At 37.2% G+C, this 24,402-nt stretch overlaps 2 annotated features.

Annotated features, from left to right (window-relative positions):
- Window positions 3,775–4,288: an enhancer, noted in NCBI's record as "OCT4-NANOG-H3K27ac-H3K4me1 hESC enhancer chrX:110786721-110787234 (GRCh37/hg19 assembly coordinates)". NCBI's record gives its function as "activates a minimal SCP1, AML or CMV promoter by ChIP-STARR-seq in naive H9 embryonic stem cells {active_cell/tissue: H9 hESC(naive)}" and the evidence as "EXISTENCE:reporter gene assay evidence [ECO:0000049][PMID:30033119]".
- Window positions 8,431–8,932: an enhancer, noted in NCBI's record as "H3K27ac hESC enhancer chrX:110782077-110782578 (GRCh37/hg19 assembly coordinates)". NCBI's record gives its function as "activates a minimal SCP1, AML or CMV promoter by ChIP-STARR-seq in primed H9 embryonic stem cells {active_cell/tissue: H9 hESC(primed)}" and the evidence as "EXISTENCE:reporter gene assay evidence [ECO:0000049][PMID:30033119]".

The raw sequence follows: 24,402 nt of genomic DNA, 5'->3' as shown, positions 1-24,402 counted from the left end.
GGCCGGATTGAAGTCCAGGCCAGGAACAATGGTAATTGTGGGAGACTCAACAAAGAGTGAGTATAGCTGAAGGAGCCAGAAAGCAGAAAGTATATGCGTCAGGTATGAGGAAGAAAATAGATTTTGGAAGTTATGAGAACTGTAGAGAGTGAGTTGAGCATAGTTTGTGATTTTGAGGGCCTCTAAAAGTATTAAAGCAGCGGCAGCTGCTGCACACAGGCATGAGGGCTAGGCTAAAACAGTAAGGTCAAGTTGTTTGGACAGAAAGGCTACAGGGTGTGGTCCTGGCTCTTGTGTAAGAATTCTGACCGCGCTAACCATGCCTAGGAAGGAAAGGAGTTGTTGTTTTGTAGAAGGTGCTGGGGTTTGAGAGATCATTCGGACACGATTGGCAGGGAGAGCACGTGTGTTTTTATGAGAATTATGCCGAGATAGGTAACAGATGAGGAAGAAATTTGGGCTTGATTGAAGTAATGGGGGCTGTCTGTGAAGCTTTGTGGCAGTACAGCCTAGGTAATTTGCTGAGCTTGATGGGTGTCAGGGTCAGTCCAAGTGAAAGTGAAGAGAGGCTGGAATTAAGGGTGCAAAGGAATAGTAAAGAAAGCATGTTTGAGATCCAGAACAGAATAATGGGTTGTAGAGGCAGGTATTGAGGATAGGAGAGTATATGGATTTGGCACCACGGGGTGGATAGGCAAAACAATTTGGTTGATAAGGTGCAGATCCTGAACTAACTTGTAAGGCTTGTCTGGTTTTAGGACAGGTAAAATGGGGAAATTGTAAGGAGAGTTTATAGGCTTTAAACGGCCATGCTGTAGCAGGCGAGTGATAACAGGCTTTAATCTTTTTAAGGCGTGCTGCGGGATGGGATATTGGCGTTGAGTGGGGTAAGGGTGATTAGGTTTTAATGAGATGGTAAGGGGCGCATGATCGGTCACCAAGGAGGGAGTAGAGGTATCTTATACTTGTGGGTTAAGGTGGGGGAATACAGGAGGAGGACGCAAAGGAGGCTTTGGATTGGGAAGAAGGGAGGCAATGAGATTTAGCTGTAGTCCAGGAATAGTCAGGGAAGCAGATAATTTAGTTAAAGTGTCTCAGCCTAATAAGGGAACTGGGCAGGTGGGGATAACTAAAAAGGAATGTTTAAAAGAGTATTGTCTAAGTTGGCACCAGAGTTGGGGAGTTTTAAGAGGTTTAGAAGCCTGGCCGTCAATACCCACAACAGTTATGGAGGCAAGGGAAACAGGCCCTTGAAAAGAAGGTAATGTGGAGTGGGTAGCCTCCGTATTGATTAAGAAGGGGACGGGCTTACCTTCCACTGTGAGAGTTACCCGAAGCTCGGCGTCTGTGATGGTCTAGGGGGGCTTCCGAGGCAATCGGGCAGTGTCAGTCTTCAGCCGCTAAGCCGAGAAGATCTGGGAAGGAGTCAGTCAGAGAGCCTTGGGCCAGAGTTCCAGGGGCTCTGGGAATGGCTGCCAGGTGAGTTGAACAGTCCGATTTTCAGTGGGGTCCCACATAGATGGGACGCGGCTTAGGAGGAATCCGGCGCTGCGGGCATTCCTTGGCCCAGTGGCCAGATTTCTGGCACATGTAGCAAGCTCCTGTGGGAGGAGGTTCTGGAGGAATGCTTGGCCGCTGCGGTTCAGGCGTTTGGAAGTTCTTGTGTGCTGGAGATGTGGCTGGAGTTTGTCTCAGAGTGGAGGCAAGGAATTGCAACTTTTTTCTATTATTGTACACCTTGAAGGCGAGGTTAATTAAATCCTGTTGTGGGGTTTGAGGGCCGGAATTTAATTTTTGGAGTTTTATTTAATGTCGGGAGCAGATTGGGTAATAAAATGTACTTTGAGAATAAGATGGCCTTTTGACCTTTTAGGGTCTAGGGCTGTAAAGTGTCTCAGGGTTGCTGCCAAAGAAGTCATGAACTGGGCTGGATTTTTATATTTGATGAAAAAGAGCCTAAACGCTATCTGATTTGGGATAAAGAAAAAGGAGTATTAACCTTGACTATGCCTTTAGCTCCAGCCACCTTTTTAAGAGTAAATTGCTGGGCAGGAGGGGGAGGGCTAGTCATGGTACGAAACTGTAAGCCGGACCAGATGTGAAGAGGGGAGGTGATAAAAAGATTATAGGGTGGAGGAGCGGAGGCTGAGGAAGAATTGGGACCTAGCTCGGCCTGGCGAGGAGCAGCCTGGGGAGGAAGGGAGAGGTCAGATGGGTCTGTAGAAAAGGAAGATTAGAAAGACTCAGCAACGCTTGGGGTTGGTACAGAGGGGACAGGCGGGAGGGAAAGAAGGAAGATTTCGGATGAGTTGCACTGGGCACAGAGACTAGGAAGGGACTGATGTGTAAAAGAATGCCTGGACGTCAGGCACCTCAGACCATTTGCCTATTTTATGACAAGAATTATTTAGATTTTGCAGGATGGAAAAATTCAAAGTGCCATTTTCTGGCTATTTGGAACTACTGTCGAGTTGGTATTGGGGTGAAGCGGCATTGCAGAAGAAAATAAGGCATTTAGGTTTTAGGTCAGGTATGAGTTGAAGAGGTTTTAAGTTTTTGAGAACACAGGCCAAGGGAGTAGAAGGAGGAATGGAGGGTGGAAGGTTGCCTATAGTGAAGGAAGCAAGCCTAGAGAAAAGAGAGAGTAGGGAAAGGAGGGAAGGGGTTCGGGGGTTCTTACCTTCCAGAAAAGTGGGAAAAGGGGTTGGGGCGCAGAGATAAGAGGTCGGGGCACAGAAATAAGGGATGGGGCACAGAGATAAGGGGTTGGGGCATGGAAATAAGGGGTAGGTGCATGGAAATAAGGGGTCAGGGCACAGAAATAAGGGCTCGGGGCATGGAAATAAGGGATTGGGGTGCAGAGATATAAGAGGTTGGGGCACGGAAATAAGGGATTGGGGCACAGAGATACGAGGTTGGGGTACTTGCCCCTCCTCTAGAAAAGCAGGACTTGCTGCTCAGAGTGAAGGAGAAGGGGTTGAGGGGTACTTGCCCCTCCCCCAGAAAAGCAGAGAAGGGGTAGAGACAAGGAGAGAAGGGGTTGGGGTACTTGCCCCTTTCCCAGAAAAGTGGGACTTGCCGCTAAGGGTGAAGGACCAAGGCAGGCGTCCCTGCGTGGTCTGACACCTTTGAATCGTGGGTGAATAATCAGAGAAGTGTCCCTGTAATGATTAAACACCAAGGGAAGTCTGCCTTCCCAGTCCGTGACTGGCACCGGAGTTTTGGGTCCACGGATAAAACGTGTCTCCTTTGTCTCTCCCAGAAAATGAAAGGAATTGAAATTAAGAGAAGGGAGAGATTGAAGAGTGGAAAGGAGAAAGTGGTTGAGGGACAGTGAGAGAGGTTGGAGAAGAGAGTAAGAAGAGGCCGCTTACCTGATTTAAAATTGGTGAGATGTTCCTTGGGCTGGTTGGTCTTAGGACCTGAGGTCATAGGTGGATCTTTCTCATGGAGCAAAGAACAGGAGGACAGGGGATTGATCTCCCAAGGGAGGTCCCCCGATCTGAGTCACGGCACCAAATTTCATGCGCGTCCATGTGAAGAGACCACCAAACAGGCTTTGTGTGAGCAACATGGCTGTTTATTTCACCTGGGTGCAGGTGGGCTGAGTCCGAAAAGAGAGTCAGGGAAGGGAGATAAGGGTGGGGCCTTTTTATAGGATTTGGGTAGGTAAAGGAAAATTACAGTCAAAGGGGGTTTGTTCTCTGGCGGGCAGGAGTGGGGGTCGCAAGGTGCTCAGTGGGGGTGCTTTTTTGTGCCAGGATGAGCTAGGGAAAGGACTTTCACAAGGTAATGTCATCAGTTAAGGCAAGGACCGGCCATTTACACTTCTTTTGTGGTGGAATGTCATCAGTTAAGGTGGGGCAGGGCATATTCACTTCTTTTGTGAATCTTCAGTTACTTCAGGCCATCTGGGCGTATACGTGCAAGTCACAGGGGATGAGATGGCTTGGCTTGGGCTCAGAGGCCTGACATATGTTTCACTGTTTTACTGGAAAAAAAAAAAAAAAAAAGCTTGCCATATAAAGAATACTTTCTGGAGGGCAGGTGTGGGAATCTATAGTCTCTCTGCTGCTGGAGACATCTCTTCTGTTTGTAAGCTCCTATTAGATGTTTCTTTCAAGAAACTGGATTTATCATCCTCTTTCTTCAACTCTCAGCTTCCTCGGCCTTTGGGGAGTAGGTATGCATATACTGTTCACTGCAAAACAGTGGTACTAGGAGCCTATGCTACAAAGAACCATTTGTTTTCTTCCAAATTTATTATGATGTAAATCAAAAATAAAATTCTAAGGCCCCCCAACTGAGGCAGGAGAATAAGGCCTGGAGGCAGGGAACCTAAGGACTTCCTAGAACTAAATCAAATGGAAACATTTCAGCAATGACAGGAATGTGAATGGCTTTGTAACTTGACTTCATCCTCTTCATTTACATATGGCATATACCAAGTAACCAATGGGAAACTTCTATAGGGTATTTAAACCTCAGAAAACTCTGTAACGGGGCCCTTGAACCCCTTGCTCAGCCCGCTCCCACCCTGTGAAGTGTGCTTTCATTTTCAATAAATCTCTGCTTTTGTTTCTTCATTCTTTCTTTGCTTTATTTGTGCGTTTTGTCCAGTTCTTTGTTCAAAACACCAAGAACCTGGACACCCTCAACAGGTAACCCAGCCATCTGAATGGAATTCCTCCTGAGCCAGAGCTCTTGAAATTTAACCTGAGAGACTGTTTCAGGCCATGATGGGAAGTGGGGGTTGAACGGGTCTCAGTATACCTTTCCAGCATTAACATCAACACAGACTTTAAGTGTGATAAGAAATATTTTACAACCTATTCTCTCTGAAGCCTGCTAGGTAAAAGTCTCATCTGTATAGTTAAAACTTTGCTTTCCACAATCTCTTATCTTAGACAGATCCCACCTCTTTAGACAAACTCAACCATTTGTCAACAAGAAAATGTTTAAATTTACCTATGGCCTGGAAGCTCCCACCCCCCACCCCTTTCTGGACCAAACCAATGTATTTCTTAAATGTGTTTGATTGATGTCTCACGCTTCCCTAAAATGTATAAAAGCAAGGTGCACCCCAACCACCTTGGACACATGTTCTCAGGACCTCCTGATGGCTGTGTCACAGGCCATGGTCACTCATATGTGGCTCAGAATAAATCACTTCAAATATTTTACAGTTTGGCTCTTTTCATTGACAATGATTATCCTTTTCCATATGTAAAATAAAAGCTCACTGATTTAGGCTGTACTAAATCACAATGTTCAGAATTCAACATTTGAAGAACACGGAAATGATTTGGTGAGTAAATATGTAAAGAACACTGTTAGTATCATATTTAGGTCATACATGTGAACAACCTGTTTACTAAAAGTAAATTCCCAGTAATAACGACTAAAATGTTCACAGTATATGTCAGTCTTTCATATATTTTAAGTCCCAGCAGGGCCCAATCAAGATGAACTGCATCTAGTTGAAAGAGAGAGTGGTAGGCCAGGTTATGGACTTAGACCTTCCACTGAGCAGATCTAGCTATAAGCGTCAGAGACAGTGCAGTATGAGAGTCAGAGTATGACATTTAGCCATGCAGTCACTCATCCAGTATTACTGAATGGTCAACTATGTGCCAGGGTTTGTGCTGGTCACTGAGGATGTAGAGATGAATGTCATCCCTCCAGGAGCTCATGTATATGCAAAAGAATGTATTGCAATGCAGGGATTTAATGCAAGAGTATAAGGAATTATAACCACCAAAGTCATGCAAAGGAAATAGTTATTAACTGTATTCTAGGGAGAGATTAAGGAAAATGATAGACTTGAATAATAGGGATGGGCCAAGTTGTTTTAAAGGGCAAATAGCAGTATGCCGAGGATGCAGAGGTGAAGGGAACTTTCCAGGATGCAGGAACAGAATGTGACCTAGCTAGAGTGTATTGCAGAAGAGAAAGGAGTGGGGTCTGAGGATTAAACAGAGCAAGTAAGGTGATGCAAAGTTTTTTACTCATGCTAAGGATTTTGAACTGATGTCTGATCATCATACAGTGACGCTTGTGAGTAAACTTAGCTTTTTAGTGTCTCATTCTTAAGTATGAATATCCAGTCAAGGATCACCAGACATGAGGAAATCTTTCAACGTCAGAGCTGCACATAGTTAAAGGTGCATAATTGGAATATATATACATATATATTTATATAAACTTGTGTAAATATGTACATATAAGTATTTCATAAAACCATCCTCACAATCAAGATAGTAAACTTATCTACCACCCAAAAAGTTTTGTTAGGCCACCAGAAGTGGTTAGTCTTTTTTATTCTAGACATTTTAATAACTGTGCAATGGTATCTCATTGTGGTTTTAACTTACATTTTCCTAATGATGATAAACAACTTTTTATGTGCTTATTTTTCACTCATACATCTTCAAAGAAATGTCTATTCAAATATTTTTCCAGTTTTTCAAATTGGGTAAGTTATTATCTTTTTCTTCAGTTTTGAGAGTTCTTTATGAATACTGGATTTGTCAGTTACATGCTTTGCAAAGATTTTCTCACAGTCTGTGGCTTGTTTTTCATTCTCTTATCAGTTTCTTTTGAAGATCCAAAGTTTTTAATTTAGACGAAATCCAATTTATCATTTTTTTTCTCTTATGGATTGTGCTTTTGTTTTCAAGTTCAGTAAATCTTTTCTTATCCCAAGGTCACAAAGATTTTATTCTGTTTTGTTCTAGAAGTTTTAGGTTTTACATTTAGATGTAAGATCCATTTTGAGTTAATTCTTGTATATCATGCAAAATATGGACATCCGATTGTTTCAGCAGCATTTGTTAAAAAGGCTTTTCTCTCGCCACTCCTTTGATTTTGCATATTTGTCAAAAATCTGCTGTCCATAACCACAATCTGTTGTCCATATAGAGGTGGGTTTATGTATGGACTCTGTTATGTTTCATTAACCTATTTGTCTACTTTTATGCCAATAACACACTGTCTTTATTCTGTAGCTTTTAAAAAATAGATTTTATTTTAATTGACAAATAGTGCTGCAAAATCAGATGTTACCCCCAATTTTATTTTCAGAATTCTTTTGGCTATTCTAGGTCTTCTGCATTTCCTTATGATGTTTAAAACCTGCTCATCAATTCCTAAGAAAAAAAAAAGTCTGCTGGGATTTTGATTGGGATTGTGTTGAATTTATAGATCAGTTTTGTAAAGAGTTGACACCTTAACAATATTGAGTTGTCCAATCCATGAACAAGGACTACCTATTTATTTATGTTTTCTACAATTTCTTTCAAGCAATGTTTAGCAGTTATCAGTGTACAGGTCTTTCACATCATTTATTAGACAGTCCTAAAGATTTCATATTTTTGATGCTATTGAAAATGTTATTGTTTTTTAAATTTCAATTTCCAATAGTTTGTTGTTATTGTATACAATATAATTGATCTATATTCATCTTGTGTTCTGCAACCTTGCTAAATTCATTTATTAGCCTTAGTAGATGCTTTTGGTAGATTCTATCAGATATTTTGCATAGGCAATCATGTCATCAGAAAATATAGTTTTACTTCTTCCTTTCCAATCTGGATGTCTTTGTGTATTTATTTTTTCTTGCTTGATTACATTGACTAGAATGTTGCATAAAAATGGAAAAGCAGACATTTGCCTGTCTTATTCCTGATCTTAGGGGTAAAGCACTTCATCTTTTACCACTAAATAGGATGTTACCATTGATTTTTTGGAAGGAGAACTGTATCAGGTTGAGGAAGTTCCCTTCTCTTCCCAGTTTGTTGAGTGCTTTTATCATGACCTGCTATTAGGTTTTGTAAAATGCTTCTTCTGTGTCTATTGAAATAATCATATATTTTTTCCTTTTTAGTTTTTTAAATATTGTTGATTATGTTGATTTTTAAAAAACTGTTCATCCAAACTTGCATTTCTGGGATAAAACCCATTTGGTCATGATGTATTCTATTTTTCACATATTGCTGAACTCAATTTGCTAAATTTTTGTTATGAATTTCTTCATAATGTGAAACGGGAAAGGTTCCCTTGTCCCCCTCGCAGGGCATGTGATGGGGTTGTGGCTCGCTTCTAAAGTGCCCCACTGCTCAAACCTCCAGGGAAGCATACAGACGGCCAGGCTGTGGGGCTCCGACCCCACGGCAGTGTCTAGGGGTGAATGTTTACAACTGGAGCCCCAGTGGGCGTGCGTTACAGGGTGCTCTTTTAGGTTGCTGTCTATAGGCAGCTTGTGTTAGTCAGCTCAATTAGACCCTCTACCTTGTCTCAAGGACAGAGGGCTTTCTGTATCCTGGGGTTTCTTGCCTTGGTGTACTGGAAGAATCAGATCACACGTGGGCTTGGAGAATGAATGAGTGCAAGGTTTTATTGAGTAGAAGCAGCTCTCACCAGATGGGGGAACCAGAAGGGAGATGGTTTTCCTCTGTAGTTGGGCTGGTTGCCTGGCTCTTCTCTGACTGTTCTGGCCAAACTTGACATTGTGCCATTGGTTGATGGCCTGCCGGTCCCCGTCAGCGTGCTCTTCGGCTGGTGGGCTCTCCATGACCAGCTGCTTGTGTCTTCTTCCACCAGTGTGTTCCTCACGATGTCCAGCCACTTCTGTGTCTGCCCACTAGGTTCTCCGGTTTTTATGGGCCCAGGATAGGGGTGTGACAGGCCAGGGTGGTCTTGGGAAATGCAACATTTGGGCAGGAAATTCCTGTCGTCACCTAGGTCTGTGGGGGTGAAGCCCTAGCTAGGGACCAGCCTTTCTCTACCCAGCATTTTCCTGTAATGTCTTTGTGTGGTTTCAGTATCAAGGTAATGATGGCGTCATAGCATGAGTTGGGAAGTGTTTTCTTCCTTTCACTTTTTTGGAAGAGTTTGTGTAGAATTGGTATTATTTATTTATTTATTTTTATTGTTTCTGAAATGAGGCCTTACTCTGTTGCCCAGGCTGGAATGCAATGGTGCAAACACAGTTCACTGCAGTCTCAACATCCTGGGCTCAAGCAACCCTCTCATTTTAGCCTTGTGCCACCACGCCTGGCTAAATTTTTTACTTTTTTTGTAGAGTCGAGGTCTTGCCATGTTGCCCAGGTGGGTATTACTTACTTTTTAAAGGTATAGAAGAATTTACCAGTGAAGCCATATAGACCTGGAGATTTTTTGTGAGAAGGCTTTAAACTATAATTTTAACTTCTCTCTCTCACACACACACACAGACACACACACATGTGCACACACACACCATAACATGTATACAGGTTGCTATTTCAGGTTATCTATTTCTTCTTCAGTAAGCTTTGATAATTTGCATCTTTTAAAGAATTTTCCCATTTCACCTAATTCATTAAATTTATGGGAATAGAGTTGTTTAAGGTGTTCCCTTATCTTTTTAATATCTATAGATCCTGTCATTATGACACTTCTCTCATTCTAGATATTTGTAATTTTTGTCTTCTCTCTTTTTTCCTGAGAAAAATCTGGCTAGCAGTTTATCAATTTTATTGATCTCAAAGAATTTACCTTTGGTTTTATTGACTTTTTCAGCTGCTTTTCTGTTTTTTATTTCACAGTTTTCTGCTTTGATCTTCATTATTTCCTTTCTTCTATTTCCTTTAGGTTTCATTTGTTCTTCTTTTTCTAGTTTTCAAGATAGAAAATGATATTATAATTTGAAGCTGTTCTTCTTTCCTAATATAGGCATTTTTTATAAGCACAGCTTTGGTAGCATTCTGTAATTTTTGATATGTTGTCTTTTCGTTTTTATTCAGTTAAAATCACTTTCCAATTTTCTTTTTGGTTCCTTCTTTGATCCATGTATTATTTAGAAGTGTGTTATTTCATTTGCAAATATTATGGGAATCCTCAAAGATCATTTTGTTATTAATTTCTGATTTAATTCCATTATGGTCAGAGGACATACTATGCAAGAGTTGGATACTTTTTAATTTATGGAGGCCTGTTTTATAGTTCTGAATATGGTCTATCTTAGTAAATATGTCCTGGGTTCTTGAGAATAAAGTGCATTCTAATGTTGTTGGGTGGAGTGTTCTATAAAAGTCAATCAGGTCAAGTTAGTTGATAGTTTTGTTCAAATCTACTATATACATTTGCTGATTTTTCTACCCACTTGTTTTGTCAGTTATTGAGAGAGAGGTATATAGATTCTTAGATTATCATCATGGGTTTGTTTGTTTTTCCTTGTGGTTCTATTAGTTTTTGTTTCATATGTTTTGAAGTTCTGTTATTCAGTGTATAAACATTTAGGATTGTTACATCTTCTTGATAAATTCACACCATTATCATTATAAAATGACTTACTTTATACCTGGCAGTATTATCTGTTCTGAAACCTACTTTGTCAGATAATACAACCACACCAGCTTTCTTGTGAATAGTGTTAGCATGCTATATCTTTTTCTATCCTTTTATGTTTAGCATATTTGTGTCTTTATATTTAAAGTACATTTTCTGCAGGCAGAATATAGTTGTGTCTTAATATTGTATCTAATATGACAATCTCTGCCTTTTAATTTGGGTGTTTGGACCATTTAAATTTATATGACTATCAATATGGTAAGGATTAAGCCTATAATCTGATTGTTTGTTTATATTTGTCCCATCTATTTTTTCCCTCTTTTTCCTTTATTTCCACCTTCTTTTGGATTAATCAAATTTTCTTTGTGATCCTATTTTATTTTCCTTGTTGGCTTAGTAGCTATAACATTTTGTTTTGTTATTTTAGTGGTTGCTTTAAGGTTTATAATGTATACATTTAATTTGCTACAGTATATCTTCAAGTGCTATTATACCATTTCACATATAGTATAAAAACCTTACAATTATATTTTTTATTTCTTTCTCCCAGCCTTTATGCTATTGTTGTCATGTTTTACTTTTATATATGTTCCAAATCCCACAATGCATTGTTATTATTTTTGTTTAAACAGTCTTTTAAAGAGGTTGAAATAAGAAAAAAGTCTTATATACTTACCCATATAGTTACCAATTCCTGTTCTCTTCTGTTTGCTCTTTGTCTAAATCAATATTTTCATCTGTTTTGTTGTCCTTCTGCCTGATGGATGTCCTTTAATATTTCTTGCAATGGACATCTGCTGGTGATGATTTCTTTCAGGTTATGTATGCCTAAAAATGACTTTATTTTGTATTTGAAAAATATATTGCCAGGTATAGAATTCCAGGCTGACAGATTTTAAAAAATACTTTAAAGATGTCCACTATCTTTTCCATAGCATTTTTCTCTGACAAGAAATCTGATATCATTGTTATCTGTTCCCCTTAACAGACAGGTTTGCCTGCTTTTAAGATTTTCTTTTTGTCACTTATTTTGAACAATATGATTATGATGAATCTTAGTGTAGTTTTCTTCGTACTTATTGTGCTTTGGGCTCCTTCAGTTTTTTGTATTTGCGAGTTTATATTTTTTATTAATGTTGGAAATTTTCAGCCATTATTTCTTCATATGTTTTTTTCCCCTTCACACCCTCAGAGATTCCCACTGTGCATATATGAGGTCATTTACTGTTGTCCCATAGTTCACTAATGCACTTTTCTTTTATCAATATTATTTTTTTCTATGTGTCTTTTGTGTAATTTCTATTGCTATACATTCAAATGCACTTATCTTTTCTTCTGTAGTGGCTAGTCTTCCATGAATCCCATCCTGTGATTTTTTTTTCCTTCTCAGACATTATCGTTTTTATCTCTGGAAGTTCAATTTCGGTCATCTTTTTATATATTTTGTATATCTATTTAACTTGTTAAACATATTAAGTAACATTATAATAACCATTTTAATGTCCTTGTCTAATTTTAATATCTCTGTCTGTTATGGGTCAATTTTGATTGACCTTTCTTCACTTCATTATGGGTCATATGTCTCTTTTTCTTTGAATACCTAGTAATCTTTGATTCAGTGTTAGACATTGTGAATTTTAACTTTTTGGGTGCTAGATATATGTGTGTCCCTATAAATCTTTATGAGTTTTGTTCTTGGATGCAGTTAAGTTGCTTAGAAACAATTAGATTCATTTAGGTCTTATTTTTATGGTGTATTAAGTGAGTCCAAAGCAGAGCTCAGACTAGGGCTATTTTTTCACTACTGAGGCAAGCCCTTCCTGGTACCCTACCCAATGCTCTGTAAGTTATTAGTTATTCTAATCTCACTGGTGGGAATAGGCACTATTTCTGGCCCTCTGTGGGTGTATGGCACTGTACCCTGTAATATAATTCTTTCACATTGTTCTTTCCTTGGCCTTAGGTAGATTTTTCTCATACATGCACTGATAAGTATTCTGTTGAATACCTGAGGGGAGCTCTCTGCATGTATCTGGGGTTCTGTCTCTGTTCTCTTAGCTCTAGCTCTATTAGTCTCCCTGCACTCTCAGCTCCATATCCTCAACAAGAGTCCAGTATCCTTCACCTTAATACATCCTTCCTGTGCCATGGCCTGGAAAATATCTTAAGGGAGTAAGCTAGGGCAATCATAGAGATTACCTAATTTGTTTCTCATAGCTCCAGACTAATGTTCTTCATTTTCTGACGTCTAGTGCCTTGAAAAGCATTATTTCATATATTTTATCTGTTTTTATTTTATTTTTTGCTCGTTGCAGCCAGGAGAGTAAATCTGATTCCTGTTACTCCATTATCTGGAAGCAGAAATCCTGTTTAATTTTTAAAATTATCTACATTTATTATTTGATTTATCATTTAATAATGAACATTTCCAAACATATCGAAAAATTTAAAGCATTATACAATACACATCTGTATGCCCACACTCTAGATTCTACAATTAGCAATTTGCTATATTTGCTTTATTATATAACTGTTTCTTCATCCATTCACCAAAACATCTTGTTTGTTGATGCACTTCAAATTGAAAATATCAATACAATTCACCTTAAGCCTTGAGCATGCACATCATTCATTACAGTCTAATATTTGTTTTTGGCTCTTTGTCAAGGAAAAAGATACATATATTCAAATGCACAAATCTTAAGTGTACCAATTAACAAGTTTTGACAAATTAAAAACCTATGTAATACTATCTTCCATCAAGCCACAAAACATACTTATCACCCCAGAAATTTTCTTCCTGACGTTACCAGTCAATTCCCCCACCTTCCCAAAAGAAACCACTCTTTAGATATTTTCACAATAAAAAGTTTAACGTTTTTAGGAATAGCACTGTTATATAGAAATATAATGTTAGCAAAAAACAGGGCCACATGCGTAATTTTACATTTTCTACTAGCCACAATTCTAAAGGTGAAAAGAAACAGGTGATATTAATTTAAATATTGCATGTTGGATTTTGATTCCAAAATGGCAGGATAGAAACAAGTTGGCTTTACTCCCCAATAAAAAAAAACCCAAGAACCAATATACAGTACCAAGTTTCTCAGCAGCACTATCCCAGAGCTCAAATATGAGGATGAGACAGTTCCCATGGCCATACAGAAGTGAAAAAACTCTGAGCAGATGGTAAGAGAATAGGATTTCGATATTCACAATGCCCTTCCACTCAATCTGCCCTGCACCACAGGCATGGAAAAGTTTGCCCTGATTCATGGTTTCTGCACTGGAAAAAGTGAGATAGAGGTAGACAATCAGCTTCCCCAGCATCTTGGGTTCCTTGGCAGGAGACCTGTCCCTGCTTCATCCCATTGAAAGCATCAGGAATGCCTAAAGAAATAAATATCCCTGAGGACAAATGGAAACCAAAAAAAGAACAGGAGTAGCTTTGCTTATATCAGATAAAAATAGACTACAAATTAAAGACTGTAAAAAGAGACAAAGAAGGTCACTATATAATGATAAAGGGGTCAATTTAGCAAGAAGATATGACAATTATAAATATTTATGCACCCAACACCAGAGCTTCCAAGTATACAAAGCAAACATGCATAGATTTAGAGGGAAAGATAGAATACAATACAATAATAGAAGGAGGCTTTAACACCCTCCTTTCAGTAGTGGACAGATCATCCAGGGAGGAAATAAACAAAGAAACATTTGAATTGAAGTACACACTAGACCAGCTAGGCCTAACTGACGTTTACAGAACATTTCAAACAACTGCTGTAGAATGCACATTCTTTTCATCAGCACATGGAACATTCTCCAGAATAGATCATATCTTAGGTCACATAATAATTCTCAACAAAATTTAAAAGATAGAAATCATATCAATTATCTTTTCTGACCACAATGGAACAAAAGTTGCAATCAATTACAAGAGGAACCTTAGAAACTTCATGAACATGTAGAGATTAAACAACATTCTCTTGAACAACCACTGTATTAATTAAGAAATTAATAAGGAAATTAAAAAATTTCTTTAAACAAATGAAAATGGAAATACAATATACCAAAATATATGGGATATAGCAAAAGCAGCACTAAGAGGGATCTTAATAGCAATAAATGCCTACATCAAATAAATAGAAAGACTTCAAAAACCTATCAATGCACCTCAAAGAACTAGAAAATAAAAAAAATCTAACCCAAAATTAGTAGAAGGAAAGAAATAATAAACATCAGAGAAAAACTAAAATTTAGATTAAAAAACAATACAAAAGCTCAATTAAACCACAAGTTGTTTTTTTAAAAAAGATAAATAAAATCAGCAAACCTTTAGGTAGACTAAGGAAAAGGAGATACTATATAAATCAATAAAATCATAAATGAAAACTGAGACAACAGAAATACAAAGAACAATTAGAGACTATTAGGCACAACTATATGCCAACAAACTGGAAAACCTAGAAAACATGGGTAAATTCCTGCACACATATAACCTACCAAAATTGAACCATGAAGAAAAGGATGTGGGGGAAATGGACTCCCCCCAACACACACTATTGATAGGAATCTAAATTGGAAGTAAACAGCTATTAGGAAGTAAACGGCTATTACGGGAAACTATAGAGAGGTTCCTCAAAAATCTAAAAACAGAATTACTGTATGATTCAGAAATTCCACTACTGTGCATATATTCAAAAGAAAGAAAATCAATATATTGAAGAGATATCTGCACTCCCATGTTTATTGCAGCACTATTCACAATAGCCAAAATATGGGTTTAACCTAAGGGCCCATCAATGATTGGAATGGATAAAGAAAATGTGATATATATACACAATGGAATATTATTCAGGCATAAAAAGAATGAAAGCATGTCATTTGCAGAAACTTGGATGGAGCTGGAGGTCATTATGTTAAGTGAAATAAGCCAAGCACAGAAAGACAAATATTGCATGTTCTCACTCATAGGTAGGAGCTAAAAAAGTGCATCTCATGAAGATAGAGAGTAGATTGGTGGTTATCAAAGGCCAAGAGTATGGGAGAAAGAGGGAATAAAGAGAGGTTGATTAATGGGTACAGCCATACAATCTGATGGAAGAAATAGGCCTAGTGTTTGATAAATCACTAGGGTGACTATAATTTACAAGAATCTATTGTATATTTCAAAATCGCTAGAAGAGAATAATTGGAATGTTTCTAGCATTAAGATATTTGAAAGATATTTAAGGTGATGGATAACATTTATACTGATTTGATCTTTACAAATTATATGAATATATTAAATTATCAGGTGTACCTCAAAATATGTACATCCATTATGTATCAATAAAAAATAAAAATATTGTATTTTATATAATCTAATGTATCCCCAAAGGTTATCATTTTCAACATACAATCAGTGCAAAAATTTTGAATGATATATTTTACATTTTTTAATATTATGTCTTTGAAATCCAAAGTGCAATTTATACTTATAGTGCATCTTAATTTGGACTAGTCATATATCAAGTGCTCAATAGCCACATGTACCTACTAAATACCATATTGGACAGTAGAGTTCTAGAACTTTATATAAATGTGAGTATAAAATGTGTACTCTTTGTCCAAGACTTATTTACTTAGCGTGATGTTTTTGAGATTCATTGATTTATTTTTTTAATCAAAATAAAAATTAAAACAAAGTAGAAATAAATGTTCAAGAGTAATATAGAAGATGAAAGGAAAGAAATTGGACTCAAAAAATTCTACTGTGTAATCCTATGTTACAAAACAGCAGATTAGACATACTGATGAACTTTATCCTTTACAATAAGTATGATAAAATATGTTAATATTTTAGTCTGGTCACTAAAATAATAAAAATAGAATATTTAATTCCAAAATCAGTAGAGGAAATAAAAGGAAATTAAAAACTCAAGCAACTGAATGAAATGTGGGGAAAAAAAAGCAAAGAAAAAAATAACAAAGTGATAGTAAGAAATCTAAATAAATTGGTAATCCCAATAAATATAAATGGGCTTAATGCACCAATTAAAAGAGACATTTTTAAATAAAATAAGAATATTAAACCCAACGGATATTCTAATTGTAAGATATACACCTAAATATAACAACACACATAGGTAGGGTGCTGTAGCTCATGTCTGTAATTCTAGCACTTTGGGAGGCCAAGTGGGAGGATCGATTGAGGCCAGGAGTTGAAGACCAGCCTGGGTAACATAATGAGACTTCATCTATATTAAAAATAAAAACAAATTAGTTGGGAGTAGTGGTGTGTGCTTGTAGTCGTACTTATTTGAGAGGCTGAGTGGGAGGATCACTTGAGCCCAGGAGGTCGAGGCTGCAGAGGGCTATGATTGCATCACTGCACTCCAGCCTGGGTGACAAAGTGAGACCCTGTATCAAAACACACACAAGCACACACACACTTTAAGTAAAAGAATGGAAAATGTGTGTCTGGCAGATACCAAAAGAAAGCTGATATATCTCTATTAATATCAGGCAAAATATTCATGAGGAAAATGGATCAAACATGCTTATGCAATGTAATACAATAGTGAAAATTAATGACACCTTAAGATACGTACATATGTAGTGAAACAAATTAAATCATATATTATAATGATAAAACAAATTCTAAATAGTAGTGTTGAATGCTGGTTCTCTCAGTATTATCAACATAACCTGTTGAGTTTGTTTGCTTACCATGGTAAGAGATAACACCAACTTCCCAAAACTTTGGTAGTATCTCAGAGGAGAAAAGACAAGGTCAGAATTTATTCAGAATTGAAAGTTTGTTTAAAAGTGGCTCTTTCAATATTGGGACTTCGTTAGGACTGGGTAAGTATCATAATACAACAGTCTTGGATTAGTGGAAACAGAGGAGGATTTTAAGGAGAGGTATTCGAAGAGTGCAAGGCACAAATTGTCTTCTGACACTTTATTGACACTGATGATTCTCTTGGGAAGTTCCTATAATGAACGGCCAAACCACCTTCCTGCACAAGAGACTCCTGGAAGACTCATTTTAATGTAGACAGTTAGGTATATTGGGGGTAGAAGTGTACATAAATTTAGTCCCCAGTGTTCAAGCTGGGAGTAGGGGTAGATCATTTTAGCTCTAAGTATTTAACTCTAGGGAAGAGGAATAGGATCATAGAGATGTACACAGGGACACAGGGGCTTCAACTCTGCCTATAATGTTTTATATCTCTTAAAAGATCTGAAGCTAATATGGTAAAATGTTAAGAATTGTCAAAAGTGGTTCACAGGTAAAATGGTTTTTCTTTCCTAATATTTTTTGCATTTTTCTATAGGCTTAAAATAGTCCATAATTTAAAAAATAGTGCTTTTGCTTCATAAACAAAGACCAATTATTTGTCTCCTTTTTTTTAATGAAGATGTTGTATAGATTTCCCTTTTTCTGATTCAGCATCATAGACAGTCTACCTACAGTACAGTTGAGATAGTTGACGTTTCTTCACATCTCAGTCATAGCTTCCAGGCTATCTAGCTCTACCTAGGTCAACTTCATAGGACTTGGTGGTCACTTTCCATGTCTTGTTAACCAAAATTTTACAAATCACTTCTCAGTTTGTATTGATTTTAAATTGCGCTGAATTTTGCTATTGAGAGGGCCATCTTTTTCTCACCTTTTCCTTGGATTAAGGAGTTTCTATCTCTAGTGTTTTATGTATGGAGATATAGACATATATATGTGTATGTATGTACTATTTATGGAGCTATATAAATATGTGTTTCTTTCATGTATGGAGATATAGACATATACACACATACATTTTTTGTGTGTAAATATGTCTGTTTATGTGTGTATATGCATATTATATTATAAACAGACATATTTACACACACAAACAGAATCTCAGAATTAGGGCTGGGCGCAGTGGCTCATGCCTGTAATCCCAGCACTTTGGGAGGCCGAGGTGGGCGGATCACAAGGTCAGGAGATAGAGACCATCCTGGCTAACACGGTGAAACCCAGTCTCTACCAAAAATACAAAAAATTAGCCGGGCGTGGTGGCGGATACCTGTAGTCCCAGCTACTCGGGAGGCTGAGGCAGGAGAATGGCGTGAACCCGGGAGGCAGAGCTCTCAGTGAGCCGAGATCGAGCCACTGCACTCCAGCCTGGGTGACAGAGCAAGACTCCGTGTCAAAAAAAAAAAAAAAAAAAAAAAAGACCCCCAGCTCATCTGATCTAACTTCTTAGCAAATATAAAAATCACTTCTATAGAATTTGGTAGGCAGTATAGCATAATGGTAGTATATGGGTTCTGGAGTCAGTTGGCTATGGGTGAGAATCTCAGTTATGTGTCATTTGTCAGCTGTGTGACCTGGGGCAACTTATTTAATCTTTTTAAACCTCAATGTCTCATAGATAAAATGGGAATAATAATACTTATTTTGCAGGCTTTTGTTAAGTTTAAATAAGAATGCATGTAGAATATTAAGCATAGAGCTTGACATATAATAAATCTTCAAAATATATCAATTATTGTTAGTATAATTATCTTTTATAGGTATGTCCATTAACCTTTACTTTAACTGTTTCAATAATATTCTACTTTGCAAGAAAGTCTGCCCTATTTTGGGGAATCTGTCACTAGAAATACAATGCATCAAAATTCTTTTCCTATAAACTCTACTCCCCTTAAATTCTACTTGTTGGTCCTAGTTCTGTCCTTTGAAACTACATGGGTTAGGTCTCTACTGCATCATTGTAGAAATTCTTCAAAGGTTGGAAGGAAATATCTTATTCTGCAGGGCATTCTCTACTTATGAGTCTAAACTCTAGAGTATAAATAATGTTAGAATTAGCTAACAGATTTCAGCATCACCTACAAATATATTAAATTGGTGAACAAATATTGGATATTCTGGTAGTTTGAAATGTTAAATGTTGAAGAGATTGTTTTAGACATTTAATTAGCCTGTCTCCAGGCATCTAATGAGTTTTAGAATCTAAGGTTCAGGTAAAGTCTTGTATTTCTTTCACTTATCTCTGGGTTGAAATTCCTACTTTTAGTAAATTTACCATTTTTGTTCTATGTTTTGTCTTCTCTCTGTGTGTGGTCTCTTTTATCCACCATGTTACCACTCAAGACATCATAATAATCCCTTCACTCAACCAAAGTACTGCTATCTCTAGGCTATGTGAGTTTCAGACTTTAGTGAAGGTTCAGTTATGGTGGAGGGTTATACTTTAGGGCATCACAGCAAAAGACTTAGAATTGAGCATTCACCATTGCTATTCTTCTGAGGAAAGAACCTTCACTGGTTACTCTTCTGCTTGGTCTCCAGCCTCTCGCCATGTTGATAGACCTCTTTCTACTTTGTATTCTTTACACTTAATCTCTGGTTCATGCTCAAAAATTCTTCAAATAACTGTTCATTTCTATTTCTTTTTCCGATTTTTTAACATTTTTAATTTTTGTGAGTACATAGTAGGTGTATGTACATATGGGGTAAATGAGAAATTTTGATACAGGGATGTAATATGTAATAACAAAATTATGAAAAATGGAGTATTCATCCCCTGAAGCATTCATCCTTTGTGTTACAAACAATCCAATTATACTTTTTTAGTTATTTTAAAATGTACAATTAAGTTTTTATTGATATAGTCACCTTGTTGTGCTATCAAATACTAGGTCTTGTGATATCAAATACTAGGTCTCGTTCATTCTTTCTATTTTTCTTCAACCCATTAACCATCTCCACCTCCCCCTCATCCCCCAACTACTATTTCCAGCCTCTGGTAACCATTCTTCTACTCTCTATGTCGATGAATTCAATCGTTTTGGTTTGAAGATACCACAAATAAGTGAAAACATGTGGTGTCTGTCTTTCTGTACGTGGCTTATTTCACTTAACGTAACGACATCCAGTTCCATCCATGTTGTTGCAAATGACAGGATCTCATTCTTTTTATGGCTGAATAGTACTCCATTGCGTATAAGCACCACATTTTCTTCATCCATTCATCTGATGATGAACACTTAGGTCACTTCCAAATCTTGGCTATTGTGAACAGTGCTGCAACAAACATGTGAGTGCAGATATCTCTTCGACATACCGATTTCCCTTCTTTTGAGTATATACCCAGCAGTGGGATTGCTGGATGATATGGCAGGTCAGTTTTTCATTTTTTTGAGGAACCTCCAAACTGTTTTCCATAGTGGTTGTACTAATTTACATTCCCACTAACAGTGTAAAAATGTTCCCTTTTCTCCACATCCTCACCAGCATTTGTTATTGCTGGTCTTTTGGATGAAAGCCATTTTAACTGGGATGAAATGATATCTCATTGTACTTTTGATATGCGTTTCTCTGATTATCAATGATGTTGAGCACCTTTTCATATGCTTATTTGTCATTTGTGTGTTTTCTTTTGAGAACTGTGTATTTAAATCTTTGGCCCATTTTTAAATTGGATTATTAGGCTTTTCCCTATAGAGTTGCTGGAGCTTCTTATATATTCTGGTTATTAATCCCTCATCAGATGGGTAGTTTGCAAATATTTTCTGTCACTCTTCGCTTTGTTGATCATTTCCTTTGCTGTGCAGAAGTTTCAGCTTGATGTGACTCGTTTCCTCCACTTTTGCTTTGTTGCCTCTACTTGTGGGGTATTACTCAGGAAATCTTTGCCCAGGCAGATGTCCTGGAGAGTTTCCCCAATGTTTTCCTGTAGCATTTTTATAATTCAAGGTCTTAGATTTAATTCTTTAATTCATTTTTATTTTATTTTTGTATATGGCAAGATATGGGATCTAGTTTCATTCTTCTGCATATGGATATCCAGTTTTCCCAGCACCACTATTGAAGAGACTGTTCTTTCTCTAACACATGTTCTTGACACCTCTGTTAAAAATGAGTTCACTGTAGGTGTGTGGATATGTTTCTGGGTTCTCTATTCTGTTCCATTGGTCTATGTGTCTGTTTTTATGCCAGTACCATGCTGTCTTAGTTACTCTAGCTCTATAGTATAATTTGATGTTAGGTAATGTGATTCCTCCAGTTTTGTTCTTTTTGCTCAGGATAGCTTTAGCTACTCTGGGTCTTTTGTGGTTCCATATAAAATTTAGGATTTTTTTTCCTATTTTTGTGAAGCATGTCATTGGTATTTTGATAGGGATTGTATTGAATCTATAGATTGCTGAGGTTAGTATGGACATTTTAACAGTATTGATTGTTCCAATCCATGAACATGGAATATCTTTCCATTTTTTTGTGTGTCCTCTTCAATTGCTTTCATCAGTGTTTTGTAATTTTCATTGCAGAAGATCTTTCACTTCTTTAGTTAATTCTTAGGTGATTAATTTTATTTGTAGCTATTGTAAGTGAGATTACTTTCTTGATTTCTTTTTCAGATTGTTCACTGTTAGCATGTAAAAATGCTACTGATATTTGCATGTTGATTTTGTATCCTGCAACTTTACTGAATTTGTTTAAAAATCCTAATAGATTTTGGTGGTCTCTTTAGGTTTTTCCAAATAGAAGATCATATCGTCTGCAAACAGATATAATTCGACTTCCTTCTTTCCATTTTGGATGCCCTTTATTTCTTTCTCTTGTCTGATTGCTCTAGCTAGGACTTTCAGTACTATGTTCAGTAACAGTGGTGCAAGTGGGCATTTTTGTCGTGTTCCAAAGCTTAGAAGAAAGGCTTTCAGTTTTTCCCCATTCAATATAATACTAGCTGTGGGTCTGTCATATATGGCTTTTTTCATGTTGAGGTATGTTCCTTCTATAGCCAGTTTTTGAGGGTTTCATCATGAAGGGATGTTGAATTTTATAAAATGCTTTTTAAGCATCAATTCAAATGATTATATGGTTTTGGCTTTCATTCTATTATTATGATGTATCACATTCATTGGTTTGTGTATATTGAACCATCCGTGCATCCCTGGAATAAATCTCACTTGGTCGTGATGAGTGATCTTTTTAATGTATTGTTGAAATTAGTTCGCTAGTATTTTGTTGAGGACTTTTGCATCAATATTCATCGTCACCCTTATTCACTGCAACCTCTCAGGGCTGTCTTCTGACGTGTACCTACACTGCTCCATTGGTTTCTGACTTCTAATTATTGGCTTTATTTACCTCTTATTTATGGTCTTGCTCTTAATCTTTGTACTTAATGTTTATATTTGGTCTCCCCAGCTTGGAGTCTTACCTCTCTCCCAAGGACTTTGACTCTGACACACTCTTTTACTTCTCCTGCTTGCAAGTTTCTCTGGGCAATGTACCTTAGTTTGAGAACCCTTAAACCTAATCTTCTTTTCAATCTGCTTGAAAAGTGGCCTACGCTCCAAAAATGGGGAGGAGCATGTTTGGGTATATTTTACATACATTATTGTCATTTCCTCAGTTTTATTTATAACCCCTCCCCTGGGTAATCTCATCCTTTATCAGCTCCTAAATTTATGACTCCAGCCCAAACCTCTCTTCAGAGGTCCAGATCCATATTTTCAACTGCCTACTTAACATCTACACTTGGATGTCTCAGAGGCACTTCAAACTAAAATGTCCTAAATTGAATACATCTCTTTATCTGATTTTCCTCCATTGTTCTATATCTCAGTGAATAGAGTCACCAGATCCTTGTTCAAACCAGAAATCTGTAAATCATTCTAGACTTTTTCTTCTTAATTACCCCACTTAGCCAATTCATGGTCAAGTAATGCTGATTTTATCTCCTAAATCTATCGCAAAGATATCCATTTCTTCTTTCGCCTGAATCACTGCCATAGCGTTTCTTCTGGCCTCCCTGCAACCTCCTTTGCCTTTTTTCAATCCATCCTCTATATTGCTGCCAGTGTTCTCTTCTCTACACTTATAATAAAGTAAAAAGTCTATAGCACTGCCCACGAAGGCCTGCATGTTCTGGTTCCTGTAAACCTTTCCAGGCTTCTGAAGACTTCTCTCCCTCACTCACTGTGCTTCTTCAAGTGTGTCAAGTGTATTTGATCTCAGAATCTTTACTCCTGTCATTCTCTCTATGGCATGTTTGCCTTACTCTCTCCTTTTACTCATTCACTAAACTTTAGCATATATATATATATATATATATATATATATATATATATATACACACACACACACACACACACATATACACATATATACACACACACACACATATATATATACACACACACACACACATATATATATAGTAACGTCTTCTCTGCCACTCTAAGCCAGGTTAGGAAGCATCCCTTCCACTTTATAAGTGCCCAAGCACCTTATACTTCTTTATAACACAGTATTCTTGCAATTATGTGGTTGGTGTTATCCATCCTAGTAGGCTATAACCTTCACCAGGACACAGACTATGTGCTAAATAAATGTTTACTGAATGAATGAATGGATGGATGGATGAATTTCTGTTTGTCATTTTTGCCAGATTGCAAACTTTTTGATTGCAAACTTTAGATTCCTGCAGAGCCTAGCCCAGTACGTTGTGTAATCTGTCTCTTTTATTCTCCTCCACATATATGTTTGATTTAATCAATAGACACTTGAATGAATTGGAATACCGGGAATTGCTCAAGTTATTCTTCAAAATCTCCTCACTTATATTTATTATGTGTATTTTCTTTTTCTACTTCACATATGTTCCATATTTTGTCTCCTTCAACAATTCATTCTTTGTGGCTACAGGAAGCTTTTTTTTTTAGTTGGTAATTCTTTCCTTTTTTAATGTCATAGCATTTATTCTAGAGGGCAAATGGAATTGCTGTGTATACTCAAGGCATCATATAATTTTAAAGAACAACATTATCTTTACCTAAGATGAGGTGTTTTCATTTCTGGGAGGTGTTCTCATTTCTGGGAGGCAAGGGGAGAGATAGCAATCATACATATGAAGAACTTGCATTGACTGTGAACATTAAATCCAATGATCAGATGATTGGGATTTGCATTGTGGGTAATAATTCATCCATATTACTGTCTATTCTCTTCATTTATGTAAATCAAAGCTGCAGGGGTTGCCTTTGTGCAAACTTTCCCTCAGTCTGGGAATGTGTCTTGCC

The sequence above is a fragment of the Homo sapiens genome, chromosome X, assembly GCF_000001405.40.
Source record: "Homo sapiens chromosome X, GRCh38.p14 Primary Assembly".
Classification (NCBI taxonomy): Eukaryota; Metazoa; Chordata; class Mammalia; order Primates; family Hominidae; genus Homo; species Homo sapiens.
Note: the sequence above shows the minus strand (reverse complement) of the source record. Positions and strands in the feature narration are given on the sequence as shown.